Source organism: Homo sapiens, chromosome 1 (genome assembly GCF_000001405.40).
Source record: "Homo sapiens chromosome 1, GRCh38.p14 Primary Assembly".
Lineage (NCBI taxonomy): Eukaryota > Metazoa > Chordata > Mammalia > Primates > Hominidae > Homo > Homo sapiens.
Genome location: NC_000001.11, coordinates 196,934,516 through 196,961,490, shown reverse-complemented (window position 1 = coordinate 196,961,490; position 26,975 = coordinate 196,934,516). Strand labels below are relative to the sequence as shown.

Below are 26,975 nucleotides of genomic sequence, written 5' to 3'. Positions count from 1 at the left end.
TAACTATTTTAGAAATCATATTTAAATTTAAGTTTTCAAAGTCAAATTGTATTTCTGATGAAATAGTAATGTTTTATTTCTTTACCTACGTAGTGCTCACCCATGTTTTTGGGTTTTCTGCATGTTTCTTTAAGAAAAGGTTTAAAAACAAGTCTGATGTTTTCTCTAATTTCATAGAAGACTGATAATGTGACCCTTGTTAAAATTCTTGCAAGAGAAACTTGTACACCAGATCCAAGATAAATAAGAATCTGGGTTAAGGTGCTCAAATCATGCTTTTTAGGTTGTTCATCTAAAATAAGTATAATAAAAACTGGATTTCATAAGATGCAGCTGAGGGAGCTCATCGACTCATAAAGTACAAGAGATGGAGGAACTTAAGAGATGACAGACACTCATCAACTATTGTCTCTCTTAGCCACGTGCATTCTGAGGACAGATTTGGACAGTCAGAAGCCACACGTGGGAGTTACAATTCTCACTATGCTCTTGACATTATTGCTGTTTAAAATAACTTTTAAAAGTGGATGTAATGATAGGTAAAAGTGTGAATTGTTAGTTCTGAAAGCAAGATCACTGCTGTTAGCTGTGATCACTGCAGTGTAGGAGTTGCAGAGTGGTATCAGAAATGGACACTCAGCTTCCCACCCTCTTCATGAAATGGTAAAGGCACCATGAAATTAAAAAAAGGGTAGGATGGAGGGTCTGACAAACTTCTATTGCCAGGGTGTTACCAATCCACTTTTTCTTTGAAGGGAAAATCCTCTGAGGAAGATTATCTGGGATGAATAGTAGGAGTGGAGTTTGGATTATATGACTTTGACTCCAGAATTTGTGAAAAAATGTATTTAGAATAAGATACAATATGATGGAGAAATTAGTAGACATACAATTTCTTGGTTGCTGCTAACAAGTTTGGTGAAATTAAAACATCTCATGGTGGAAAGTAAAGAAAATGAACAATTTAACCCAGCAATATTGAGAGAAATATTTGAACGAAAAATGTGTGTCAAAGGTTCTGATGGAGATTTGGGAAGATACAGTTTAAATCATGGCACTCCTTCGCTCTGACCCTTCATCAACAGATCCTACCTTCCAAGCGCCAGGTTTTAGAGATCAGATGACCATAAATATTAGAGAAATAACATTAAATATGTGGTCTGTTTTGCAAAACAGAAAAATATTGGTGCCTGCCAGGTTAATTTTAACCCCAGATTCTTTAAAATAAATGATTTGTAATTTGATGGTGAATTCAATTACCAGCTTATAGTCAGACTTTGGAAAAGTTCTCTCTTCACCAGGTCTTAGTTGTTCTTGTTAAATGAGAATTTTATAATTGATTAAACTAACCTCTCTAGTGAATATTAAGTGATACAAATCCTAGGAAGATAGTGACAGATTTTAATTGGTTAAAAAAATTAAGTGGTAAGATGATGTATTAGTGTTTCCCAGAGAAACAGAATGTACAGTGTGAGATGTATGTAGATAGATGAGATAGAGAGAGATATTTTTATGCTATTGGTTTACTTAATTTGTGGGTATATGCAAGTCCAAAATTCATAGGCTAATGGAGTAGAAGCTCAGACAAGGGTTGATGTTACAGTCTTGAGGTAGAACTTCTTCTTTGGGAAGCCTAAGTTTTGACTCTAACTGCTTCAATTGACTGAATGTGACCCACCCACATTATCAAGGGTAATCTTTACTTAAAGTCAACTTATTGTAGATGTTATTAACTCCATCTATAAAATACCTTCTTCACAGCAACACTTAGATTAACATTTGATTAAATAACTAGGCTTGATAGCTTAGCCAAGTTGACACATAAAACTAGCCATTGCAGTTGCTAATTCTCACCAAAACACAAATTATTTTGATTATTTATGTGGATATACATAGTTACAAGCTCTGAAAGAAGGCAAACATGAGCTCCCAGGCTGTGACTGTTAGGAATTGACATTTCAAGATACCTGGGGTAACGTCTAGATATAATTCCTTCAGTTACCAGTAATATACTATGAAGTACCAAATAGCTGGAAGGAGAATATTTAATGCTCCTAACCCAAAGAAATGAAAAATGTTTGAGATAATGGATATACTAATTACCCTAACTGACCATTATACATTATATATATGGAAACATTACTATGTACTCCATGAATATATACAGTTATTGTCAATTTTTTTAAAAAGAAAAAAAAAGACAATTCCTAGGTTGTTACTTAGATTTGGTGAAGATAGTCCTCACCATTGTGACACATCTCAGATTGTAATTGCATTTTCACAAATCAACACAAAACTTTATTTATGAATAAAAATGAGTAAAACAGTACTTGAAAAATGAAATTGAAAACAAATATAATAGTAAATTCAGAAAAAGGTGTGCATTTTACTAATAGTAATGCCATTGATTCTATTTTTCTTCACAACTGGGATATACCAGTTTCCCATTCTGACACATTGCTCGAAATGAATGAGATTTTGTTGGATGATATCCAGATTTACAAACAAATTCAACTATGTCACCTGTTCTTGAATAAAGCTTTTGTTGGTTTGTCCACTTTAATTTTATGTTATATTTTTCCATAATTTCTTGTGATATTACACATGGATCTGAAAGTAGAAAAAAATGAACATAAAACATTAAGTAGTATGCAAATCTTCATAGACTCAGGTTTTCAAGTAGAATGTTATATGATGGTTGAGGAATTACTTCTCAAAATCCTTTCCAAACTAATGCTGTAAAAACAAAATATAGATTTAAGTAAATTTAAAATGGTAAATGATGTAAAAATGAGGTACTATGTTTAATGGATGATAATTAGATGTTATCACTGAAGATTCATAACATCAATTGTCATATTAAGATAGTTGCATTTTAGAACCTATCATTGCTGTTTTTGTTTGATTATGATATTGGTGAAAGAATCCAAACTTTCAGTAATAAGATGAACAAGAACTGGGAATCAAATAGAGAAATGTAATGACATTAATAGCTAATAATATGGTATTATTTACTTGAAATTTGAAAAGAGAGCAGATTTTAAGAGTCCTCATCTCTCTCTCTCTCTCTCTCTCACACACACACACACACACACACTTACACACAATGGTAACCATAGGTGGTGATGAATGTGTTAATTAATTTATAGTAATCATTGCTTTATAAATATATCAAATCAACATGTTGTAGAAAATAAATATGTATTCTTTTTATTTATCAACTAAATGTTTTTAAATAAAATATAAATATAAAGAGAAAAATTTCTAAACTTTACATTCTATCATATAGACATTTGGTAGGCAAGCATTCAGCAGAATGCTTGTTTGTTAATCTGTGAAAATTCTATTACAAACAGTGAAATATCAGACTCATCACACTGATTTTTCCAGAATCCATGAGAATATTAAAGTACTTACCTAAGCATTTTGGTGGTTCTGACCATTGTCCGTTTCTACATGTTATTTGATTGTTACCCTCAAGTTGATACAAGTTCTGGCACTGGTACTCAACTGATGAACCTGGAGCATATACTGACAACAGGAATGAAGTAATGTCTCCATTGTCAATAGGTGGAGGGGGCCCACATTTTTCTGCAGAAACTAAAAAAACATCATTTGATTTACTGGGAGAGTAAATAAAAATACAAGTTCAAATAAGGCAAATGCAAACAAGGCACTTTATAGTCTATCAGGGCTTTTGTGATTTGTGCTGAATGAAATGATTCCCGGAGTAAAATTTATCCTACAAACTGAAAGTTAAATTTTCAGTTCTTTTCTCCTCACTGAATGAACACATACAGCATTAACAAAGATGACACTTTGTAGTATTCCAGGATTAAGAAATGTTTTTCTAAATGAATACATGCTAAACAGATAGAAAGCTATGACAAAACACAGAAAGTTTCTTATTTTAAATTCAACATTCTTTGGAGTTTATTGGGTCTGTAGTCATTTCATTCTTTATTTTCATTTGCCTTACAAAAGAAACATTAACTCCTGGAAAAATTTAAAGAATACAAATTAATAGAAACTAAAAGGGAATTGCTGGATTCTTGGTATTGGCAAAATGAGGAACAAACTTTTCTACCTTTTCCTTATGCTAAGTACAACTCAAATTTTGAACACAAAGTAAAAAAAAAAAAAAAGGAAAAGAACATAAAAAGACTCTGAAAGATGTAGAGAATTTGAAGTTGCTGGAGACTTCAGGACTCAAGGAATGACACAGCAGGGTGTCATGTGGGTTTTCTTTTGGACTCCTTTGTATCCTGGATAGGACACTGGAGAAGACTGCAACCCAGTATTGATATGAGGTTCAGACAGAAAAAGAAAATCCCCAGAAGAGCCTACTTTCTATACCCAAAAGCCCAGGAAAAGAGCAGCCTTACAAGACAAAAATCATTTTTAACAATAACTTACATACTGTAGGAAAGATCCTAAGAAGCCAATGACCACCCTCCACACTTCTAGATAAACAGAGGTCAACTGAGGAACCTAGACTTCTACCCACATGGTCAAGTAACAAGACACCGCTCCCTTTTCCCATGATTGATGTCAGCAGAAGCCAAATGGGAAACCTGGGCTTATACCCACCATGGCAGCAATGGAACCTGCCAAATAAGATTTTTGCAATCGAGTACTCAAAATATAACACCTAAAATATCTAGAATAAATTTAAAAATTACTCTTCATATTAAGGACCAGGAAACTCTCAAAAGGGAAAAGACAATTATTAATAACAAAAGACAACACTAAGAAGACACAGATGTTGAAATTGATGATGCTTTAAAAAATCCAATAGGAATTATAAACCCAAATAGTAAAACAATAATTAAAAAAATCCTCTGGATAGGCTTAATAACACACTGGGAGATGACAGATGAATAAATTCATGAACTTCAATACAGAGCAATATTAATTACCCAGTCTGAAAATAGACTGAAAACAGAAAGCTGAACTGAGCTTAGAGAACTTTAGAATAAGACAAACAACAACAAATAAGGAGAGGCAATCCAGAAAGAGAAGAGAAAAAGTATTGAGCTGAAAACAAAAAAATGACTGAACACTTCCCAGACTGACCATAAGGCATAAACTAATAGTGACATGTAGAACTAACGAATACTATACAATATTTTTCTCATAACTTGAAAAAATATACATCTATTTTGACTTAATTACATTAAACTATTCCAAATCTATCAAAAATACAAGAAGGGAATGATATCAGAAGACTGAGGAGATATTGGTAGCTGGAGCACTTGAGATTGCTCTGTTTTGCATTCACATCATTTATTGCACATACTTGCCACCTGATATAGTTAGGCTTTGTGTCTCCACTCACACCATTCACATCTTATCTTGAATTGTAATCCCCAGATATTGAGGCAGAGACCTGGTGGGGGGTGGTTGGATCATGGGGATGGCTTCCCCCATGCTGTTCTCATGATAGTGAGTGAGTTCACATGAGATCTGATGGTTTTATAAGTGTTTGGAAGTTCCTCCTTCATCCACTTGTCTCTCTCCTGCTGCCTTGTGAAGAAGTGCCTGCCCCCGCTTCTGCCATTATTGTAAGTTTTCTGAAGCCACAGCCATGTGGAACTGTGAGTCAATTAAACCTATTTTATTTATTTATTATTATTATTTTTTTGAGACAGAGTCTCGCTCTGTCACCCAGACTGCAGTACAGTGGCACTATCTCGGCTCACTGCAGCCTCTGCTTCCCCAGCTCAAGTGATTCTCCTGCCTCAGCCTCCCAAATAGCCGAGATTACAGGAGTCACCACCATGCCCAGCTAATTTTTATATTTTATCAAAGACAGAGTTTCACGATGTGGGTCAGGCTAGTCCCAAATTCCTGACCTCAAGTGATTCACCTGCCCCTGTCTCCCAAAGTGCTAGGATTACAGGTGTGAGCCACCATGTCTGGCCAAACCTATTTTACTGATATATTACCCAGGTTGGAGAAGTTCTTTATAGCAGTGTGACAGTGGACTAATACAGTAGATTGGTACAGGGGGCACTGCTATAAAGATACCTGAAAATGTGGAAGTGACTTTGGAACTGGGTAACAGGCAGAGGTTGGAACAGCTTAGGGGGCTCAGAAGAAGATAGGAAGATGAGGGAAAGTTTGGAACCCCCTTGAGACTTGTTCAATGGTTTTGACCAAAATGCTTATAGAGATATGGACAATGAAGTCCAGGCTGAAGCGGTCTTAGATGGAGATGAGAAACTTATTAGGAACTGGAGCAAAGGTCACTCTTGCTATGCTGTAGCAAAGAGACTAGTGTCAATTTGCCCCTGCCCTGAAGATGTGTGGAACTTTGAAGTTGAGAGAGATGATTTAGGGTAACTGGAGTAGGAAATTTCTAAGCAGCAAAATGTTCAAGAGTGACAGAGTATAAAAGTTTGCAAAATTTGCTGCCTGACCATGTGGTAGAAGAGAAAACTCATATTCTGGGGAGTAATTCAATCCTGCTGCAGAAATTTGCATAAGTTACAAGAAGCCAAATGTTAATAGCCTAAGACAATGGGGAAAATGACTCCAGGACATGTCAGAGATCTTTGAGGCTTTCCCAATCACAGGCCCAAAGGCCTAGCAGGGAAAAATATTTTCATGGGCCTGGGCCCTGCTGCTGTGTGCAGCCTCACGACCTGGTACCCTGCTGAGTCCTAGCTGCTCCAGCTCCAGCCGTGGCTAAATGGGGCCAACATATAGCTCAGGTCATTTTTTCAGAAGGTGCAAACCTCGAACTTTGGCAGCTTCCACATGGTGTTGTGCCTGTGGGTGCACAGAAGACAAGATTTGAGGTTTTTTTTTGGTTCCAGGTGGGAACCTCTTCCTGGATTTCTGAGGTTGTATGGAAACTTCTGCATGTTCAGGCAGAAGTCTGCAGGGGTGGAGTCTGCAGGTTCATGGAGAACCTCTGCTAGGGCAGAGTGGAAGGGAAATGTAGGGTTGGAACCCCCACACAGAGTCACCACTGAGGCACTGCCTAGTGGAGCTATGAGTAGGGGGCTACTCTCCTCCAGACCACAGAATGGTAGATACACCAACAGCTTGTACTATGCACCTGGAAAGGCTGCAGGCACTCAATGCTAGCCCATGAGAGCAGCCCTGGGGGCTGAACCCTGCAAAGCCACAGAAGTGGAGCTACCCAAGGCCTTGGAAGCCTACCCCTTGCATCAGTGTGTCCTGGATGTGAGACGAGGAGTCAAATGAGACCTTTTATGGAGATTTAAGATTTAAGGAGTGCCCTGCTGGGTTTTGAACTTGTGTGGGGACTGTAGCCCCTTTCTTTTGGCCAATTTCGCCCATATGGGCAGAAAGTTGGAGGGAAATTATAAAGCAAATTATTCCCAATTTTACCAAATGGGTAACTAAATATCAAAGACTTTTTAAAAAACCCATCTTCTAGGTTTTTTGAACCTTTCCATTATTCTCAACTCCATCACTAGTATGTTTATAAAAACTAACTCATTATGAATATCTTCTGATTCAATTAGAAATAGTTATGTATATGAATATGTGTTTATTTTTCTTATTTAATCATCTTTCATTAATGGTTAGTTCATAAAAGTATATATTAATTCTTATGTAAACTACATAATTGACATTCAAGACAAAGTAAATAATCCAAATAAATCAAGTATACACAAAAAATTGAAATATTTTCTAATAATCTCATAAATATTTAAAGTAACTAGTTTTATGTACTGTTATAGGCACTTTAATGGTTTGATTGCAGTTTACTCAAGCAAATCCCACTAGAATATGACTCATTTCACTTATATAAAACTTGTATCCCTAAATCTCTGTATTTTATTCCAATATTTGGATGGCAATTCTTTATTGATTATCATCTTTTAAAAAATCTAATTGTAAAAACAAAATGCCATTGAAAACAATTGATCTGTCTGGGTACAGTGGCTCATGACTGTTACGTCAGCACTTTGGGATACCAAGGTTGGTGGATCGCCTGAGGTTGGGAGTTGGAGACCAGCCTGGCCAATTTGGTGAAACCCTGGCTCTACTAAGAATACAAAAATTAGCTGGGTGTGGTGACACATGCCTGTAATCCCAACTACTCAGGAGGCTGAGGCACAAGAATTGCTTGAACTTTGAAGGTAGAATTTGCAGGGAGCCAAGATCCCACCATTGTACTCCAGCCTGGGCAACACAGTGAGACTCTGTCTCAAAAAATAAATAAGTAAATAAGTAAGTAAATAAATAAATAAATAAATAAATAAATAATCTTGGCTGATGTAGGGTTTCCCAGCTGCTTTATTCATATAAGGTTATTGCATGGTGTTGTAAACGGAATAACAGCCCCCAGAGATTGCACTGTACTAATCCCTGCAACATGGATTACCATAACTTGCAAAATGTTACCTTACATGAAAAAACAGACTGTGCAGCTATCATTAGGAGTCTAGTTGCCCTGAAACTTTATTAACTCTCCACAGCGTTCTTGAGCTACCATTCAACCTTGGACATAGAGTGTTCCGCTAAATTCTTCCACTTTGGAGATTCTGACTTCCTCCATCTACTCTGATAACCTCAATATGTTGCCTTATGCTTTTGGAATAAGGGACAGGCAAAGAGGGAAAGGTAGCAATATTGTGAGAACTTGAACAAAAAGATGTGTTCTTTGTCAGCTTAAATAAAATGTGCTAAGTTTTGAAGCAAGTTTATTTTGGCAACTTAGTTTCTAAATGTCATTACCCACTGAATGGAACCAGAACTTATTGGAGGTATGGTTGATTCTAGTTCTCAGACAGGGAAAACATGAATTAAACCCGGGATATTTTTTGTGTCACAAAGCAACAGACTTAATCAAAGCCTAACAAAGTCTTACAGACTGTACACAAGAGCCAGCTTGTATGGGATACAGCTGGTCAAACTTAATTTGTCAAGCTTCTAAATTATAATTGTTGGGCTGACAATAGCCATCATCCCACGAAATGAAGAGAGCTTGTTCATGACATAGAGCATGGAAATATTTATGCCATCACTGAAGGCTATAAATCCTAAACCCTATTCAATCACTGCAATTTTCTGGTATTCATAACATTTGTTCTTTTTTTTTGTTTTTTGCAAATATTAATAATGTTTAATCCCCTAGTAATAGAAAGAGGCTATGACTTAACTGTTTACTGAAAAACTGTCACAGTTTCAGCTGTTTTAAGAAGACTCAATTTTCTAGAAGTGTAAATTTAGTGAAGACAGGGTCTCACTCTGTTGCCCAGGTTGAAGTGCACTGGTGCAGTCATAGCTCACTGCAGCCTTGAACACCTGGGCTCAAGTGATCCTCCTACTTCAGACTTACCAGTGGCTGAGACTAGAGGCACACACCACTGTGCCCTGCTCTAGAGGTTTAAAATTAAGAATTAAAGGTGTGGAATAATATTTGATAACATAACATCTTTTGAAAGGCATACCACGGATTCTATTTCCTATTGGATGGAATAGCTGGTATCAACATAACCTCCCACTGGAAAAAAATTAGAAAACTGTACAAAATATATTTCAAGAACACTGGAAATCACCCAGCACATGACCGTGATGACTAAGAAAATGAAAAAAACTTGAAACCCCAAACTACCACAGCACACAGCCCCATCTGTTTGCTGACAGGCCTTTTCTAGACTCTGTGCTGTGAGGGAGAACCCAGCAAGAACTCAATGGTCTTCTTTAGTTGAGACTAATAATGTCAGTCTTGGAGACTATGGTGGCCAGAAGTTACTGGGCATAGTAGCAGAGAGAAAGTGGTATGAAGAGAAAGAGCTATAGAAGTTTCCATCGGGCTCCTTTTGTTTTTAGTTGAATACAGAGCTGTGCAAGCATAGGACGGAATCTTATTGGGCTGGGCAAAAAACAATTACTGAGGAGCTATAAAGACGAAGAATTGCAAGAGTTCACACAGGACTGGGAGGTGCCATCATTTATACCACAGGTTTCCAAAAGAATCGTTTTCCAAATGCTAAGCTACTCACAAATAAACATACCTCTCAGAAGTATGGACTTTCTAAAACTTAAGAATTGATGATTTATTGAATAGAGCATATGAATTTAAATAAAGATAAATATTAAATGCTGTCTTACTTATAAGACATTTTAACTAGAATTGGACTTATTTTCACTTCAATACATCAGTTTTGTAACCATTTCTTGTCAACTAACCCGATACTATAAACCACACACAGGTATTACTTAAACTTCAAGGGATTATCTTCAAGGTGTATTCTTGTCTAATATTTTTACTTATCACATATATTTGATTTATATAGGTAGGCAAACTATATTATTGCACATCCACTTAGACACAATTGGAACTGAGAATCAAATGAATAATGATAGAAGTATGTGGCAAAACCTATATTTAACCTATATTTAATCTGTAAAAAAAGATTTATTTCTTTTACACTTTATAATATAACAGCATCTGAGAGAACAACATTGCACTTACTAGTGGACCTGCATTTGGGAGGAGTGGACCAGCCCCGTTCTACACATGAAATGTTGTTCTCATTGTTTTGAAGTCTGTATCCTGTGTTGCAAATAATTTGTACAGTATCACCTTCCAGATGTGTTTGTCCTGAAGATTCAGAATGACCATTTTCCACAAAAGGAAAGAAACACAGTCCTAAAGACCAAAAACAGATTAATAGACAAGATGGAAGTAGCAAAGAAAAAGTACAACTGCATTTTAAAATATTTTAATAAATAGGGTGAAGTGGCTCAAGCTGGTAATCCCTGCACTTTGGGAGGCTGAGGTGAGTGGATCATTTGAGGCCATGAGTTCGAGGCCAGCCTGGTCAACATGGTGAAACCCTGTTTCTACTAAAAATACAAAAATTAGCGGGCATAGTGGTGTGCACTTGTAATTCCAGCTACTCTGGAGGCTGAGACAGGAGAATCACTTGAACCCAGAAGGCAGAGGTAGCAGTGAGTCGAGATGGCACCACTGCACTTCAGCCTGGGTGACAGAATGAGACTCTGTCTCAAAAACAAAACAAAACAAAACAAAACAAACAAACAAAAAACCAAAAAGGAAAGCTTTCAAAGCTGAAATCAAATATAAACATTTTCAAAAGAAGTTAAGTCTTGCTACTATATATATGATGAAATATATTTTTGGTTCCTTTATATGTACATATAGAAGAAAATATTTCATGTTGTTACTCTATGTTTTTTATAATAAAATATTTTATGTTTATCAACTCTTTTAGGGACAAAAGAACATCTACATATATCTATTTCTCTCTTAACTCTCATAAATGTTTCTTAGGAGAAAGATCATTGCTATCTCCTTTGTTGCCTCATCTATCTGTCTCCCAGTTGTTTTCTCTTTTAATATACCTGTTATCATTGGAGTCTGCTCTCTACATTTATTGGAGGGTTAATATAGCTACACTTTGAAGGACCAAAGAAATTATTTATTGAAATATAAAAGTGAAAATGCTAAACCTCCTTGTAATATGCAAAAGAATGTTAAATTCAAAACAGAATATGTATAAAATGACATTTAAAAGGAAAACTATGATCAGGCTGCTGCCAAATGAATATTAGTAAAGAAATATTAGCAGTCAAATATATTAATCATCAGTTTAAAAAAATTGATATATTTCAACATGTAGAGAATTTCCGGGTAATGCAAGACAGTTGACATATTTATTCTTCATTGATTCTCATAGGAGCCATCTCAAAATAGAAGGACTACATCTCCCATCTTTCCAGCTCCTCTGGTCACTGCTCCTGTGATTATCAAGTGTTTATGATCTTGTCTGGCATATCCTTCTCTGTTCATTGAATGACATCCATTTAATGAACAGGGCATTTACTCACTGAGACACTTTGGTGTTGGTGACCATCCTTCTTCTGCGCACGTTATGCGAGTCCAAAAGGATTTTGAAGGAGACACAAAATTATATTCACAGGAGTAATAGAAAACTTCCCCTGTAGGAACTTGGGAAAATGGCTTATATTTTTCTTCATCATATAGAATTCCATGGTTTATTTTTGGAAAATCACAGAACATTGCTGGGAAAATAACACAAAACTGAAGAATTACATAATAAGCTACATAAATAAATCACTAGACTATATTTTAATCATCTCATTTAGTTTTTTTCTTTCATTTAGCTTAAATGCCTTTAGCTTAAATGCTCTCCAGTGTCCAAATTAGGAATGAAAAGACATCACTAACTAAGAGTACACGAGTATTTGAGGAGGTAATTGTTAATGAATATAAAATCTATATTTTGGAGTGATATGAAATATGAACTCTCCTGCAATGTCTTCAAGAAGAAAACCCTCACACAACAATTTAAGAATGAAGGCAGAGTGTAAGACTAGCAAATCTTCCTGATCTACTTAGTATACAGTAGAGGAGTGACAGGGTTGTTCTTAGCTCTCAATTTACTTATTTTCTCTATTCTCATTGACTGTCATAGGTATCTCCACCAGAAACTCTGTCCTATTTTTTTTCTGGTGCAGAAAAGATGTTGGGTAGTTAGTTTTGTTGTTTGTTTATTAATATCATTTTGAATACTTTCTGGTTACAAAGTTAATATAGTTTCAGTGGAAATAATTGAGAGAATATAAGAAAATCACTAAGAACAACTCAAGATAAAGTTAGAGCTAAATTCTGGTTAATGTTGTATATACAAATATGTATTGTATATTTGTATTTATATATTTATACTTGTATACACACATATATATACGGTCAGCCCCACTGGTTTCACATCCTCTGATTCAACCAACTGCAGATCAAAAATATTCGGAAAAAAACAATAAAAAGACAATAAAACAATAAAAATAATGCAATTAAAAATACAATATAACAACTATTTGTATAGCATTTACATTGTATTAGGTATTATAAATAATCTAGAGATTCTTTAAATTGTATGAGAGGGTTGGGTGTGGTAGCTCATACCTGTAATCCCAGCACTTTGGGAGGCTGAGGTAGGTGGATCACTTGAGGTCAGGAGTTTGAGACCAGCCTGGCCAACATGGCGAAAGCCCATCTCTACTAAAAATACAAAAATTAGCCAGGTGTGGTGGTGCACACCTGTAATCCCAGCTACTTGGGAGGCTGAGGCAGAAGAATCACTTGAACCCAGGAGGGGTATGTTGCAGTGAGCCGAGATCATGCCACTAAACACCATCCTGGGGGCGACAGAGCAAGACTCTACCTCAAAAAAAATTAAAATAAAATAAAATAAATTGTTTGGGAGGATATACACAGGTTATATACAAATACTACATCATTCTGTCTTAGAGACTTGCATATCCTTGGATTTTGGTATCTACTGGGGGTGGGTAGAGTCCTGGAACCAATTCCTTGAGGATACTAAAGGACTAGTGTATATATGTATATATACATCCATATACACGATGGTGCAGGAAAAATTAAAACAATGTAGAAAATGGGTGAAATCTTCATACTTTTTGACTCTTTCTTTGTGTACACATTCATATATATACACACATATTTTTATAAGACTTTATATTTTATTAACAAGTTTTTCACAGCAAAATTGAGTGGAAGGTAGAGATTTCTATATACCACTTCCTCTTCCCTACCACATGCATAACCTCCCTCACCGTCAATATAATTATCACCCAAAGTTCATAGTTTATGTTGGGGTTCACTCTTGATGTTGTACATTCCATGGGTTTGATATACTTTATCTTTGAGTATGTATTTAGCTCAAGATAGTTCCTCATATATTACTGCTCTTTGTTTTTATGTCAAGATATTGTTGCAATATAGTACTGTTGCATAAGAAATAATTTTATTTTTCACCTTATTTGGAAGATGTGTGCAGAAATTAAGCTGACAAATCAACAGAAATTTCTCTTTTTCATCTGTCTAGAAGTAATGTTTAATGTTGCACAATATTTGAAATATTTTCACTTTGTGAAACGTGAAACTGATTATCTAACTGTTTAAAATTTGACATTAGATAGTTTTGGTAAAGGTATTGAGGGAAAGACTCCCATCTTGATAGTATTAACCTACCATAACTCTTTTAGTTATCCTTCACTCCTCCAAAATTATAGTAGTTTATTTTCATACATTTGTACTTACATATTCTTTGCTATCCAGAATAACTTGGTTTTCATCACCCAGTTATATTGTACCTATGCTTCAGAATTAACTCTATGACATTCATCAAGTATTCATTGTGCATATCTGCAATGGTGCTAGCTAGGAGTGTTAATGTCTTCTTGCAAGCCTCCTTTACACAACCACCCACTTCAAAAGTAGAAAATAATTTTTCTTGTCTCAACATTCTGATAGAATATTATGAATATATTTCTTCTGGGATACACACACACACACACACACACACATACATATATACAGTTGTACAGATATTCACCACATAATGACATTTTGGTCAATGACTGATCGCTCATGTGACAGTGGACCCATAAGATTATAGTGTAGCTGAAAAATTCCTATCACCTAATAGCCATCATAACATAGCAGTGTAATATATTACTCACATGTTTGTGGCAATGCCGGTGTAAATAAACCTACAGCATTGCCAGTCACATAAAAATATGCCACACACAATTTTGTACAGTACATAATACTTGATGATGACAATATAGAAGTGTTACTGGTTAATGTATTTCATATAGTATAATTGTTATCAGTATTTTATAGTTAACTTCTTCTACTGGTTAAAAAAATTAACTGTAAAACGGTTAATGTTTCCTGAGGCAGATCCTTCAGGAACTATTCCAGAAGAAACCTTTGTTATCATAGGAGAGGACAGCTCCATGCCTGTTACTGCCCTGAAGATCTTCTAGTGGGACAAGAGCGGAGGAAGAAGACAGTGATACTGATGATCCTAACCCTTTGTAGGCTGAGGTTAATATGTGTGTTTGTGTCTGTTTTTAACAAAAAGGTTTAAAAAGTAAATAAATAAGTAAAATATTTAAAAGATAAAAGCTTATAGCACAAGAACAGAAAGAAAAAATCTTTTGTACATCTCTACAATGTTTTTTAAGCTAAATATTATCTCGAAAGACATAAAAATTAAAGTTGATGAAGTAAAAAGGTCAACATAAACTAAGGTTAATTTATTATCGAAGAAAAGTTTAAAATAAATTTAGTCTATCCTGGGTGCATCAAAAGCTCAGTAATTAGCACTGAAGAACTTATCCATGTAACCAAAAACCACCTGCTCCCCCAAAACTATTGAAGTAAATAAATAAATAAAATAAATTAGTTTAGCCTAAGTATACAGTGTTTATACCACCTCTAGTCGTGTATGGTGATGTTCTAAGCCATCACATTCACTCACCACTCATGTAATGACTTACTGAGAGCAACTTTCAGTCCTACACACCCTATTCATGGTAAAAGCCCTATACAAGTCTGCCGTTTTTAATATTTTATACTGTATTTTTATTGTACTTTGCTATATTGAGATAAACATATACTTACAATTGTGCTACAGTTGCCCACAGTATTCAGTACAGTAACATGCTGTACAGGTTTGCAGCCTAGGAGCGACAGGCTATACCATATGGCCTAGTTACCTAGTAGGCTATAAAACCTAGGTTTGTGTAAGTCCACTCTATAATGTTTGAATAAGAAGGAAATCGCCTAAGGACGCACTTCTCAGAACGTGTCCCTATCATTAAGTGATGCATGACTGTTTATACACACACACACACACACACACACACACTCACTCACAGTCACCTATATATAGCCTTGCAATTTATTTGCCTATTTACATTTTGCTTTTCTTTAGGACACTGTAAGTTGCAGTGAGGTGTGGTTAGGGTTGTCATTTTCTTCCAGCTTCTTTGCTACATGAAGCACAACATAGTGCTTGATAAATATTTTGCTACTGGAAGCATGCAGCTTTCTATGTATACAAATGTGTTGCTTCAGTGTGTTGTTTTTGCTGTTTGGCAGGTCTCTCAGTAGACACCTAAATGACAGTGTAACACACACTTACAGATCATTTAACATCTAGGCAACCTTTAGATAGAATTTCACTGAAGTTTCTCCCAGAGACTGGATTGAAGCTTGAACTTTTTTTTGGTGGGAGGAGGGTTAGGAATTGTCAAAATTCTACATATTTCTCTCATATTTTTCACTTATTTTCCTCTGCTACCCCCCTATTTAGAAATCCTCATGTAATGCCATGTGTAATAGGTGTATAAGCCACTTAATAAATACCATAAACACAGACTTAAGAAAAATCAAATACACTCATACAATCGCACTCCTGTGATTACAACTCAGCACTAAAAGTGAAAACAAAATAAAACGAATTTCAAGGGCTAGGCGTGGTGGCTTATGCCTGCAATCCCAACACTGTGGGAGGCCGAGGCAGGCAGATCACCTGAGGTCGGGAGTTCGAGACCAGCCTGACCAACATGGAGAAACCCCATCTCTACTAAAAATACAAAATTAGCCAGGCGTGGTGGTGCATGCCTGTAATCCTAGCCACTTGGGAGGCTGACGCAGGAGAATTGCTTGAACCCAGGAGATGGAAGTTGTGGTGAGCCGAAATCACACCATTGCACTCCAGCCTGGGAAACAAGAGTGAAAGTCCATCTCAAAAAAAAAATGAATTTCAAGCAATAGAAATAATATTTTGCAACATTTCTAAGGGCAAATATTTAAAGGAAAGCATGTTATTGTTCATGTTGTTCTGTTATGTCAGGACTGATGAGAAACTGTTCAAATAAAAGTTCAAAGGTCTGGAAACATTAGGAAACAGCAAAACAGTAAAGTAAAAACTTTTTGGAAATCAAAGGGTAAAGCATAATGATCGAAACTCCAAGTACAGACATAGTTTAATTAGTATCCTAGACCTTGGTAGAGATTTTGTTTGCAATTCCTTTGATATGGTGGCCTTAATTTCAACATGAAATAAAATGGGACCATTTATAAAATATCATAAGAAGCCGTTTGTAGTATTAATAAAGAGGTGATACATTACTTCATTCTCAACATTTAAGAGCTCAGAAGAAGCAATTTCTTGACAGTTCACTGGTTTATATATAAATGATATTTTCTATTGTTTCAGTAAAATATATTTCCCTCTGTTGAAGGATAATTCGATTGAAATGGGAATTCCTCCATTTTAATGACCTTTAAAATTTAAATGATCAAATCTAGGAAACTAAAATCCAAAAAGCATTTTGAAGGTGGCCAAATCTTTTTGAGATTGATTGTTCTAGTTAGTGGCATTGCAGAGTGTATGCAGAATTACACTAATACTTCACCTTGCCACCGTTAGTATAGCAGGTTTTCCCTCATTTAATTCCTCTTTACATTCTCTATTTGGTGGCCATTTACCTTTGCAACTTAGAGGATGGAGATAACTAATTTTATTCTATTTTCCTGCTAATTGCATGTTAGAAAGTATTTCCATAAAATAGATTAATATTATAACTCATTTAAAATATTTTCATCCATTTATTCATTTAAAAATATGTAAGCATACACACAAAAACCGATAAATGTATCTGAAAAAGGAACTAAATATTCAGGTCTGTTTTGAACTTACCTTCTCCCCCAACAGAGGATATCCGTGAGATTAGAATTACACTGACCAGGAGCCACATGCTTGGTAGTTCCAATCTTATATAACTAAAAATACTTCAGTGGTGGTGGTGTTGCTTTGAATCTGCTTTCATTAACAGTTATGAGCATGACTTTGAATTTCAGTGTACTAACTGGAAGCTAGTTTAGTAAAGTCCTTTGTGGTAAACATCAAAGTTCATGGAGGGTTGTGCAAAATAAGCAAATAGTGTCTAATCAGTGTTTTCACAATAATACTCTGAGTTTATCATGTAATATTAACTTGAGCAAAATAAAAGCTGTTCAATTTCCTTGTTGTGGTCCCTGAGTCTCTGAGTTTGGAATATTCAGAAATGGGCCATTGAAGAGGAAAGAGGAAGCCCCTTCTTTTTTCTAGCCAAGAGTTCAGCTACATCAGTAGGCAAGCAAGTGAAGGTGATCAGTCCTCATCTTAACATAACAGCATCACTGTTCTAGTTATAAATTCCACTTAAAACTGGTATTAAGAATGAGGTAACTTCAGACCATCCTGGCTAACCTGGTGAAACCCCATCTCTACTGAAAATACAAAAATTAGCTGGGCGTGGTGGTAGGTGCCTGTAGTCCCAGCTACTTGGGAGGCTGAGGCAGGAGAATGGCGTGAACTCGGGAGGCGGAGTTCACAGTGAGCTGAGATCGCACCACTCCCCTCCAGCCAGGGTGACAGAGCGAGACTCCATCTCAAAAAAAAAAAAAAAAAAAGAATGAGGTAACTTCTTAATAGTTTTCATATTTTGTAGACTATAAAAAGTCAAATCAAGAATAATTTTTGGTATGTAATGGTTCCCAAAATTGTTGAACCAATTTTACTTCAGAATAATTTTGTTCCGATGGGACTTTGAGAATGGGTATTTCTGGGTCTTGGTATATTCACTCACCACCAAAAGGCAGCAATAAAACTGGATAAAATTATAAAAATAATCTCTAGAAATTGGCCAAAGAGCATACTGTTGGGAAATATTTATTCCAGAAAGTCCACATAAATCTCAGTAAAAAAGAGTGGCTGCTTTTATCCACCTTTGTCTCACAGCCCAGTTCTGTGGCTCAGAAGTTGAACCCTGGGTAGGCAAGCAGGCTGTGAGGACTGGAAGCTCTGCTGCCCCACTGGAGGGGAGTGACTTTATAGCGTGGAAAATTCCCTGCCCAAGGATCCTGTTGAATATAAAGAGGTTACAGTGGGAAGCAAGTAGAGAAGATTAATATGTGTAGAAGATATTAGCTGGGGCAAGCAACAAAGTGGCCAGTCAGCCAAAAATTTAATGGCAAAATTTGGAGAAAGGGACAGCCTAAGGACTTCCACTAAGATGAAACTTACTGATGGTGGTTCAGAAATCAATGGGAATGCATATAGCTATGTTCAGTCAAGAAACCAGAGAAGTCTCTGTGAGCTATTAGTAGTCTCCACTATTGAATCTAGTCTATCTAAACCTTATCATTTCCAATTAAACTACCTAAATTATCTAAATATTAGGTGTCACACTCTAGACCATTTCCACAATCTTTTTAGCTCACTTACTCTACTAAATTTGTTCCAATCATTCAATGACACTGATGCTTTTTCACTATTCTTTTCCCTTCACTTTCTCTCTTCCCACCATACCCAAATTAGATTCAATGGTTCATCCCTGTAAGTCAATCCCTTGCACACACTCTCCTGCCCATTCCTTTCTTTCTTTCTGTAATCCAAGTCTTAGAAAACCTCAATCCTTTGCAAATAAATTCTCTGCCTGCCCTGTCTCTGAACTGAAGCAGCAGAGTGTGTCTACAAGAAAAACAAATGCGGTCACCGCTCCAAGATGGCTGAATAGGAACAGCTCTGGTCTGCAGCTCCCAGCTGCAGAAGATGGGAGATTTCTGCATTTCCAACTGAGGTACCTGGTTCATCTCACTGGGACTGGTTGGACAGTGGGTGCAGCACATGGAGGGGGAGCCGAAACTGGGCGGGGCATCACCTCACCCTGGAAGTGCAAGGGGTCAGGGGATTTCCCTTTCCTAGCCAAGGGAAGCCATGGCAGACTGCACCTGGGAAAAATGGGACATTCCTGCCCAAATACTGCACTTTTCCGAGGGTCTTAGTAAACGACAGACCAGGAGACACTCTCCTGCTCCTGGCTCGGCGGGTCCCACACCCACGGAGCCTTGCTGACTGCTAGTGCAGCAGTCTGAGATCAACCTGTGAGGCAACAGCCTGGTGGGGGGAGGGGCATTCGCTATTGCTGAGGCTTGAGTAGGTAAACAAAGTGGCCTGGAAGCTTGAACTGGGTGGAGCCCACTGCAGCACAGCTAGGCCTGCTGCCTCTGTAGACCCCACCTCTGGGGGCAGGGCATAGCTAAACAAAAGGGAGCAGAAACTTCTGCAGACTTTAAATGTCCCTGTCTGACAGCTCTGAAGAGAGAGGTGATTCTCCCAGCATGGCATTTGAGCTCTGAGAACAGACAGACTGCCTTCTCAAGTGGGTCCCTGACCCCCATGTAGCCTAACTGGGAGACAACCTTCCAGTAGGGGACAACTTACACTTCATACAGGTGAGTGCCCCTCTGGGACAAAGCTTCCAGAGGAAGGATCAGGCAGCAATATTTGCTGTTCTGCAATATTTGCTATTCTGCAGCCTCTGCTGGTGATACCCAGGCAAACAGGGTCTGGAGTGGACCTCCAGCAAAATCCAACAGACCTGCAGCTGAGGGACCTGACTGTTAGAAGGAAAACTAACAAACAGAAAGGAATAGCATCAACAACAACAAAAAGGACATCCACACCAAAACCCCATCTGTAGGTCACCAACATCAAAGACCAAAGGTAGATAAAAACCACAAAGATGGGGAGAAACTAGAGCAGAAAAGCTGAAAATTTGAAAAACCAGAGCACCTCTTCTCCTCCAAAGATCGTGGGACAAAGCTGGACAGAAAATGACTTTGACGAGTTGACAGAAGTAGGCTTCAGAAGGTCAATAATAACAAACTTCTCCGAGCTAAAGGAGGATGTTTGAGCCCATTGCAAGGAAGCTAAAAATCTTCAGAAAAGATTAGATGAATGGCTAACTAGAATAAACAGCATAGAGAAGACCTTAAATGACCTGATGGAGCTAAACACCATGGCACGAGAACTTCGTGACACATGCACAAGCTTCAATAGCTGATGCAATCAAGTGGAAGAAAGGATATCAGTGATTGAAGATCAAATTAATGAAATAAAGTGAGAAGAGAAGTTTAGAGAAAAAAGAGTAAAAATGAATGAACAAAGCCTCCAAGAAATATGGGACTATGTGAAAAGACAAAATCTACGTTTGATTGGTGTACCTGAAAGTGACGGGGAGAATGGAACCAAGTTGGAAAATACTCTTCAGGATATCATCCAGGAGAACTTCTCCAACCTAGCATGGCAGGCCAACATTCAAATTCAGGAAATACAGAGAACATCACAAAGATACTCCTTGAGAAGAGCAACCCTAAGACACATAACTGTCAGATTCACTAAGGGTGAAATGAAGGAAAAAATGTTAAGGGCAGCCAGAGAGAAAGGCCAGGTTACCCACAAGGGGAAGCCCATCAGACTAACAGCGGATCTCTCAGCAGAAAATCTATAAGCCAGAAGACAGTGGGGGCCAATACGCAACAATCTTAAAAGAATTTTCAACCCAGAATTTCATATCCAGCCAAACTAAGCTTCATAAGTGAAGGAGAAATAAAATCCTTTACAGACAAGCAAATGCTGAGAGATTTTGTCACCACCAGGCCTGCCTTACAAGTGCTCCTGAAGGAAGCACTAAACATGGAAAGGAACAACTGACACCAGCCACTGCAAAAACATGCCAAATTGTAAAGACCATTGATGCTATGAAGAAACTGCATCAATTAATGGGCAAAATAACCAGCTAACATCATAATGACAGGATCAAATTCATACATAACAATATTAACCTAAAAGGTAAATGGGCTAAATGCCCCAATTAAAAGACACAGACTGGCAAATTGGATAAAGAGTCAAGACCCATCAGCGTGCTGTATTCAGGAGACCCATCTCACGTGCAGAGACACACATGGCTCAGAATAAAAGGATGGAGGAATATCTACCAAGCAAATGGAGAGCAAAAAAAAAGCAGGGGTTGCAATCCTAGTCTCTGATAAAACAGACTTTCAACCAACAAAGATCAAAAGAGACAAAGAAGGCTATTACATAATGGCAAAGGGATCAATTCAACAAGAAGAGCTAACTATCCTAAATATATATGCACCCAATACAGGAGCACCCAGATTCTAAGCAAGTCCTTAGAGACCTACAAAGAGGCTTAGACTCCCACACAATAATAATGGGAGATTTTAACACCCCACTGTCAATATCAGACAGATTAATGAGATAGATGGTTGAGAAGGATATCCAGGACTTGAACTCAGCTCTACACCAAGCAGACCTAATAGAAATCTACAGAACTCTCCACCCCAAATCAACAGAATATACATTCTTCTCAGCACCACATCGTACTTATTCTAAAATTGACCACATAGTTGGAAGTAAAGCACTCCTCAGCAAACGTAAAAGAACAGAAATCACAACAAACTGTCTCTCAGACCACAGTGCAATCAAATTAGAACTCAGGATTAAGAAACTCACTCAAAACCACACAACTACAAGGAAACTGAACAACCTGCTCCTGAATGACTACTGGGCAAATAATGAAATGAAGGCAGAAATAAATACGTTCTTTGAAACCAAGAAGAACAAAGACACAACTTACCAGAATCTCTGGGACACATTTAAAGCAGTATAGAGAGGGAAATTTATAGCATCAAATGCCCACAAGAGAAAGCAGGAAAGATCTAAAATCGACACCTTAACCTCACAATTAAAAGAAGTAGACAAGCAAGAGCAAACAAATTCAAAAGCTAGCAGAAGGCAAGAAATAACTAAGATCAGAGCAGAACTGAAGGACATAGACACACAAAAAACCCTTCAAAAAATCAAGGAATCCAGGAACTGGTTTTTTGAAAGAATCAACAAAATTAACATACCCCTAGCAATACTAATAAAGAAGAAAAGAGAAAGGAATCAAATAGACGCAATAAAAAATGATAAAGGGGATATCACCACCGATCCCACAGAAATACAAACTACCATCAGAGAATACTATAAACACCTCTACGCAAATAAACTAGACAATCTAGAAGAAATGGATAAATTCCTGAACACATACATCCTCCCAAGACTAAACCAGGAAGAATTTGAATGTCTGAATAGACCAATAACAGGTTCTGAAATTGAGGCAATAATTAATGTCCTACCAACCAAAAAAAGTCCAGGAGCAGATGGATTTACAGCTGAATTCTACCAAAGGTACAAAGAGGAGCTGGTACCATTCCTTCTGAAACTATTCCAATCAATAGAAAAAGCGGGACTCCTCCCTAACTCATTTTATGAGGTCAACATCACCCTGACACCAAAACCTGGCAGAGACGCAACAAAAAAATAGAATTTTAGACCAATATCCCTGATGAACATTGATGCAAAAATCCTCAATAAAATACTGGCAAACGGAATCCAGCAGCACATCAAAAAGCTTATCCACCACGATCAAGTCGGCCTCATCTCTAGGATGCAAGGCTGGTTAAACATATGCAAATCAATAAACATACTTCACCACATAAACAGAACCAAAGACAAAAACCACATGATTATCTCAATAGATGCAGAAAAGGCCTTCAACAAAATTCAACAGCCTTCATGCTAAAAACTCTCAGGGAACTAGGTATTGATGGAATACATCTCAAAATAATAAGAGCTATTTATGACAAATCCTCAGCGAATATCATTCTAAATGGGCAAAAACTGGAAGCATTACCTTTGAAAACTGACACACGACAGGGATGTCCTCTCTCACCACTCCTATTCAACATAGTTTTGGAAGTTCTGGCCAGGGATTTCCGTCAAGAGAAAGAAACAAAGGGTATTCAATTAGGAAAAGAGGAAGTCAAATTGTCTCTGTTTGCAGATGACATGATTGTATATTTAGAAAACCCCATCGTCTCAGCCCAAAATCTCCTTAGGCTGGTAAGCAACTTCAGCAAAGTCTCAGGATACAAAGTCAATGTGCAAAAATCACAAGCTTTCCTACACACCAATAACAGACAAGCAGAAAGCCAAATCATGAGTGAACTCTCACTCACAATTGCTACAAGGAGAATAAAATACCTAGGAATCCAACTTACAAGGGATGTGAAGGACCTCTTCATGGAGAACTATGATCCACTGCTCAACGAAATAAAAAAGGACACAAACAAATGGAAGAACATTTCATGCTCATGGATAGGAAGAATCAATATTGTGAAAATGGCCATACTGCCCAAGGTGATTTATAGATTCAATGCCATTCCCATCAAGCTACCAATGTCTTTCTTCACAGAATTGGACAAAACTACTTTAAAGTTCATATGGAACCAAAAAAGAGCCCTCATTACCAAAGCAATCCTAAGCAAAAAGAACAAAGCTGGAAGCTTCACGCTACCTGACTTCAAACTATGCTACAGTAACCAAAACAGCATGGTACAGCATGGTACCGGTACCAAAACAGAGATATAGACCAATGGACCAGAACAGAGGCCTCAGAAATAACACCACACATCTACAACCATCTGATCTTTGACAAACCTGAGAAAAACAAGAAATGGAGAAAGGATTTCCTATTTCTTAAATGGTGTTGGGAAAACTGGCTAGCCATATATAGAAAGCTGAAACTGGATCCCTTCCTTACACCTTATACAAAAATTAATTCAAGATGGATTAAAGACTTAAATGTTAGACCCAAAACCATAAAAACCCAAAAAGAAAACCTAAGCCATACCATTCAGGACATAGGCACGGGCAAGGACTTCATCACTAAAACACCAAAAGCAATGGCAACAAAAGCCAAAATAGACAAATGGGATCTAATTACACTAAAGAACTTGTGCACAGCAAAAGAAACTACCATCAGGGTGAACGGGCAACCTACAGAATGGGAGAAAATTTTTTGCAATCTACCCATCTGATAAACGGCTGATAGCCAGAATCTACAAAGAACTTAACAAATTTAGAAGAAAAAAACAAACCCATCAAAAAGTGGGCAAAGGATAAGAACAGACTCTTCTCAAAAGAAGATATTTATTCAGCCAACAGACACATGAAAAAATGCTCATCATCACTGGTCATCAGAGAAATGCAAATCAAAACGGCAATGAGATACCATCTCACACCATTTAGAATGGCGACCATTAATAAGTCAGGAAACACCAAATGCTGGAGAGGATGTGGACAAATAGGAACACTTTTACACTGTTGCTAGGAGTGTAAATTAGTTCAACCATTGTGGAAGACAGTGTGGCAATTCCTCAAGGATCTAGAACTAGAAATACCATTTGACCCAGCCATCCCATTACTGGGTATATATACCCAAGGGATTATAAATCATGCTACTATAAAGACACATGCACACGTATGTTTATCGTGGCACTATTCTCAATTGCAAAGGCTTGGAACTAGCCCAAATGTCCATCAGTGGTAGACTGGATTAAGAAACTGTGGCACATATACACCATGGAATACTATGCAGCCATAAAAAGGATGAGTTCATGTCCTTTGAAGGGACATGGATGAAACTGGAAACCATCATTCCCAGCAAACTATCACAAGGACAGAAAACCAAACACCGCATGTTCTCATTCATAGGTGGGAATTGAACAATGAGAACACTTAGACACAGGGCGGGGGACATCACACACCAGGGCCTATCATGGGGTGGGGGGCAGGGGGAGTGATAGCATTAGGATAAATACCTAATGTAAATGACGAGTTGATGGGTGCAGCAAACCAACATGGCACATTTATACCTACGTAGCAAACTTGCACATTGTGCACATGTACCCTAGAACTTAAAGCATAATAATAAAGATAAATAAATAAATAAAGGTTTACATTATGAAAAGTTGAAAAAAAAAACCAAATGCAACGGTGCTGACTTGCCTTGCTTTAAATTAATGATCATGGGCCTAAATGATTTTGACACTTCCTTTCTCCTCCTCTGTTTTATTATCTCCCTCCTTAACCATCAGTCCGCACCTTGTACTTTGCTAATGACTTTATTTATTTTTTTCATCTAGATATAGAAGCAATCAGAAGAAAACTACCTGCTGTTCACACACATACTTTTCTGCATTGTCTCCTGTTTCACTGGATGTTGATCCTTACTCCTATCCTGTTATGGTCTCTACCAGATTTGATCCCCTCTTTCCTATGCAACGATTTTGCTCTTTCAATTATTCCCTCTCAACTGTATCATTAATTTCTCCATTTTTCAAATTATTTCTGCCAATATGCAAAAATACCAAACATCTTCCATCTTAAAGAGCAACAACAACAAAAAAAGCTCAAAAAATCTTTTGTGGAACCAAATCTCTTTCTAGTAATCTCCCAATTCTCTTCTCATTTTATAATACAATGACTCCAATGTATTAGCTACAATTTCTGCCTCATTTCATTTTTTCATTCCCACCACTACACTTAAACCTCTCTTGTAACAGTCATCAATATCTTCTTTGTAATCAAATCCATTGGTTGAAACTGAATAATCAGCAAAAATTCACATGAGTTTCCCATCCTTCCATTTTGAAATACCTGCCTCACATGGTCTATGGAACAACACATTCTCCTGGTTTCTCTTCTATTTGAAAGGCTTCACCATGTCAATGTTTTGATGGCTTCTTCTAAACTCTCTGACATTTAAATACTGGCTTGTCTGAATCTAGGGGATGTTATCATTTATTTATGAGCACAGAGTTAATTTTCACAGAGCTAGTGCCAATTTTTAGTTGAATTAACAGTATCTTCTCTTGTCTATTCTTTTTTGAAGCAGTACTCAACAATTATTTTCCAATTTTTTTGCTGAATATTTCTTCCATTCTTCTAATTTGGAAACTTAGATTTTCCTTTTGTTTTTCTGTTTCTTATTTTAAGTAATTTCAGTAGATTATGCCCTCCCATGTATTATCAAGTACAATAACTGAGACCAGGGAATTGACATCAGCACAGAGTGAGACCCTGTCTCAAAAAAAACTGAAAAACTTTTAATTGATTTATTTATGCACATATAAAGTACAAACATTAATTTATTTCTAAAATCCTGCATAATTTTACAAACTTCAACACATTTTATTTTCATCTTTTTTATTTGTTTTGTGTTCTCTGTTTTCGGTGCCCATTGTGTTCCATCAGTTGATAAGTTTTAATGGATAATGACTTGACTTTTACCTACTAACTGAGCAAAGAAATGAGAACAGGTTGTGATGTCCTACTCATGCTATTTTCTTCCAGGGATCATGTAAGATGATCATGCAAGAGTTTACC

The 26,975-nt window shown here is 37.0% G+C and overlaps 1 protein-coding gene across 7 annotated transcripts, besides 2 other annotated features; it reads right to left on the bottom strand.

The window, feature by feature from the left end:
• Positions 1,869-17,753, bottom strand: CFHR2 (complement factor H related 2). 7 transcript variants are annotated; one of them, XM_011509459.3, is made up of 5 exons: positions 17,553-17,753; positions 11,842-12,055; positions 10,463-10,639; positions 3,418-3,600; positions 1,869-2,610 (listed from the first exon to the last, which is right to left on the bottom strand). In XM_011509459.3, exons 2-5 carry the CDS (start codon positions 12,032-12,034, stop codon positions 2,411-2,413), a joined length of 753 nt encoding a protein of 250 aa, XP_011507761.1. In that variant the 5' UTR covers positions 12,035-12,055; positions 17,553-17,753; the 3' UTR covers positions 1,869-2,410. The 7 variants fall into 7 exon arrangements, with proteins under 7 accessions (XP_011507761.1, NP_005657.1, XP_011507760.1 ...); NM_005666.4 differs by having other exon boundaries at positions 11,842-12,036; XM_011509458.3 differs by having other exon boundaries at positions 10,475-10,639; positions 11,842-12,036.
• Positions 9,396-9,705: an enhancer, noted in NCBI's record as "active region_2275". NCBI's record gives its function as "activates an Ori minimal core promoter by ATAC-STARR-seq in GM12878 lymphoblastoid cells {active_cell/tissue: GM12878}" and the evidence as "EXISTENCE:reporter gene assay evidence [ECO:0000049][PMID:35858748]".
• Positions 19,208-19,708: an enhancer, noted in NCBI's record as "H3K4me1 hESC enhancer chr1:196910913-196911413 (GRCh37/hg19 assembly coordinates)". NCBI's record gives its function as "activates a minimal SCP1, AML or CMV promoter by ChIP-STARR-seq in naive H9 embryonic stem cells {active_cell/tissue: H9 hESC(naive)}" and the evidence as "EXISTENCE:reporter gene assay evidence [ECO:0000049][PMID:30033119]".

Coding starts and splice junctions, on each gene's coding strand:
- CFHR2 (NM_005666.4), bottom strand. CDS start 17,610: ATGTGGCTCCTGGTCAGTGTAATTCTAATCTCACGGATATCCTCTGTT. Junction 12,037..17,552: donor ATCCTCTGTTGGGGGAGAAG/GTAAGTTCAAAA, acceptor TTATTTTCCCAG/CAATGTTCTGTGATTTTCCA. Junction 3,601..10,462: donor TCCCAAATGCAGGTCCACTA/GTAAGTGCAATG, acceptor ATGTTTTTTTAG/TTTCTGCAGAAAAATGTGGG.